Below are 3,843 nucleotides of genomic sequence, written 5' to 3' on the forward strand. Positions count from 1 at the left end.
TTTTTCTTGAAGAAACAAGAGCAACATGTTCCTTGGAAGATTAGAAGGAGAAAGATGTTGGCTTTTTGTTTTGTAAGTACATAAATGGTGTTTGAATTTTTTATATAGGTAAGGCTAGATCAGCCTTGAGCAGTTTGCTGTAAGTGCAATGATTAGAACCACATTGAAGCAAAACGAAAGTACAAATAGTGTTTTGTATGTTAAACTATTCTGTTCAAGTTTTTGGTGAGGACTGGGTTTTCTGGTTCACTTGAGACTTTTAAACGACTATTATCAAAATAACTTAAAACAGAATCAAAGGAAATTAATTCCTTTACCATGTTATTGAAGACCATTTCGGTTGAAAAAGAAGGACAACAAATGAATAGGGCAAAGGATTCTGAGAGAATCCCTGGGTGTGCAATTCCTGAATGATAGACTGGGTCTATCTTCTGCATTCTGATATTGTCTGTGCTGCTGCATTAATGTCCATTTATGTAGTAAATACTTAGTAAAACCCTATGCCCACATTAGAGTTTATTTTGGAAGGAGGAAGATGAAAACAAAAGGTATTTCACTTCATCTACATCTAGGTTATCAGCAGAGGTCTTGGTCTTTTCCTGGTCTTATAAACATTCTATAAGACCATTCCTGGTTTTATAAACATTCTTATAAACATATAAGTATGAAGAAGATATTCCCCAAAAGAGAGTGATTTCACCGAGACTTCAAAGAAAAGCTCTACACTTGGACATACTTTCTTCTGTGTCTCTGTCAGTGTCTTATTAATATTGTTCACCATCATCCAGGTCTCAGATAGAGGCTTGGCTTTTCCCTTTGGAAATCTGGCTTCTGGACTTTTTTTATGGCATTGCTGTCTGGAAGGCTGAGTTCTGATGGTGTTTTCTCTATGTGAGTGAAAGCAGCAGTTTCTTATTTTAGAAGAAGCATTTTTAGGGTTTCATCACATCTGTCAAAGACAAAGCCCTAGAGGTGAAATCCTTCCTCTACAAGCAAGCTCATATCTCCTCATCTCTGGTATCTCAAACTTCCCTTGGAAGATAATAAATGGCAGGTCCTTGAGAAACAGGCTTGTCCTCAGAGAAGCCCAAAGTGCTTTAAGGGTCAGTCAAAAGGCTGAAAGTTCAGCATTCAACTCCTCTGAGCACTTTGCCCTTGTGTCCAGCCTTGCAGCCCTGGTGACAGTTAACAGCCGGATTCTTGGTGACGTGGAAACTTGATCACCACTTCAGTGCACGGGCCATCAACTATGTGACCCTGGGGTGAAAGCCTCCATGTTATGTTACCTCTCCCCCTCAGCCAGGCCATCCCCCAAAAGCACTGCTTTTCAATTTATATTTATATTGTCTTTCCCTCCTTCCTGTTCTTTCACACGAGGCAGCTGACAATGGTAATAAATGTGGTCGTACTCAAGGATGGGGCTGTGACAGGCTCAATAAGGAGGGGACTGATTTGTTGCTTTGGGGTTGAAAGCTCAGACTTTCATGAAACAAAAATATTATATTCAGGGTAATGATTTATGGCCTTGACTCCTGTTTGATTGCAGACCATAAATACTAGCAAACGGTACTTACGGCATCTCTAGAGGACATTAGGAACATGCTCAAGTTTATTTTATACAGCAATTACTGATGGACTATAAGCATGGACATTATTTGAAAGACATTATTTTCTCCAAAATAAGTCTTTGTAGATGATAATGTTCAACAATGATTTTCATACACTCCAACCCAATCCATGTGACTCGAAAGTGCTCAAAGAAATCCAATGACAGATCAACTAGTTGATGCCAATCGATACTCTGACAAGGATCTCATCTTTTTTGTTTTTTATCCTGTAATAAGCTTCTCAGCCTCAGATGCATGGCCTATGACTAGCATTATCCCTTCAAAATTTAGAAACCACGAAATCATCTGGTTGTAAACTTACTGCCTGGGATTGTCATAGGAACCTTGTTCAAATCTCTTTGATTTCCTCGTGTCTAATTTGTTTAGCTGTAAAGCAGGGATACCTTCTCCAGGGGATAGTATGGGCCTTAATCACATCATTTCTATTTTCCTGCCTTTTCTGATGTAGTCTCATCATTACTCTCACTCTAGAGTAGATCCTGAGTTCTCTTACCGCCTTGACTATTCCAAAGTCTTGAAGCCATGAGAATGTGATACTATTATCCCATTATAACTGAAGCCGGTACCAGCCAGAATGTAGAGGAGTGACTTATTATAAGAATGTTTCATTTATATTACAAAAAAAATTTAAATCCCAAGAGGAATTTATTTATATTCCCTGTATTTAGTGCTCAGTTTATTAATTTATTTAAAGCACTAAATTACATTTTTCTAAAACAGATTTGATCCTTATGTGGAAAAGAAAAAGACCTCTCTAAAACTTTCTATTGAGTGGTAGGAGTTGGATCCAAAAGATGCTATTTGAAATGCTATTGAAGGAAAGTCTCGCTGCAGATAGGAGAATGAATGGCTTAGGGGCTACTTTACATTCATTATTACAATTGGTAGCCACTTTTCCCTCCTTATCTTATTTGAGAGACTTCCCAGAAGATAGAAACCAATTAACTCTTTATTTTGGCAGTGATCATCCTAGGTGTTCTTTTAACGGGTATTATACTTGCTAAATTATAGATGAGCTTGCTAGTAAGACAAATGCCATTATCTGAGTTATTTATTCATGGGACATCGTCTGCAACATACCCACACTAGTTTTTCGCAAAGTTTGGTATTGATCAATTGCTTTAATCAGTTGTACCAAGGGATGCTAAAAGACTCAGCTATCACAGCTTTGAATATCAGCATCTCTCTCTGGGTCTCTGCCAGGCTGGGAGTGAAAACTGCAGCTATTTTCAAACTCTTAATAACAAGAACGCTAAGTAGAAGTAAATGGCTCTTTCCATTTAGATGGGTGAATGTTCATCATTACTCCGCCTTCATACCCATGAACTCATCACTTTGACAGTATCATCATATTTTTGTTTCTGCATTTTCTTCCTTTGGAATGTTAGCTGGAATGTTTGCAAACATCTAGCCTCCTGGCCTCTTTTAATGATACCCACATATCTTTTCAGATTTTGCTTTCAAAGCAGGGAACAAACTCTGCTGGTTCCTCAGAAACACATGGCCAAGATCCTCAGTAGATAATCAGCATTCTGTCTAGAGGCAATTAAAGATGATATAGTTGGGGCTGTATTTTTATTTATACTGTGTAATGAGGCTCCAAATTAAAAAAGTTATATCCTAATCTCCATTAATGTAAGGAGTTGCAGTCTTGTGAGTGCAGTGGTCCATATTAGATGGCAAATTTGTCATTTTTACACTTTCGTTCAGTGCCAAGATTCCGCATTTCCTGAGGACAAGTGCTGATGCAAATAGCAGGAGCTCTACCCACCTCTCTTTTCGTCCTACTGTGGAAGTGGGTTTCATTTGAGCAATAAGACATGACAGACAGCGCATTTGCGGGCAATTATGTCACACCTTGGGTGGTATCAGAAAGCATAAGGTCAAAGGATGGGGGCTTTAACTTCCTAAGAAATGCAATAATGACCCTGAAATGCACAGCTTGGGTACCTTATTACAATTGTAGGATGGAATACATTAAAATGAAGAAAACAAGGAACAAAGATGAAAGTGGGACTTGGTCGATGGGGGTATGAAATCAATGTCAGGCAATCATAAGTCTTTGTATTTGAATTTCTAAAAGCATTTCCAAATGGTTATCCCTTCATAAAGCTTTAGTACTTTCTCATGCACAATCAGACACGGATTGTCTACAAAGAGCTTCTAACCAGTTCCTCTACCTTTTTTTAATGAAGTTGGTAAGAATTGGAAGAAG

Source organism: Homo sapiens, chromosome 10 (assembly GCF_000001405.40).
Source record: "Homo sapiens chromosome 10, GRCh38.p14 Primary Assembly".
Lineage (NCBI taxonomy): Eukaryota > Metazoa > Chordata > Mammalia > Primates > Hominidae > Homo > Homo sapiens.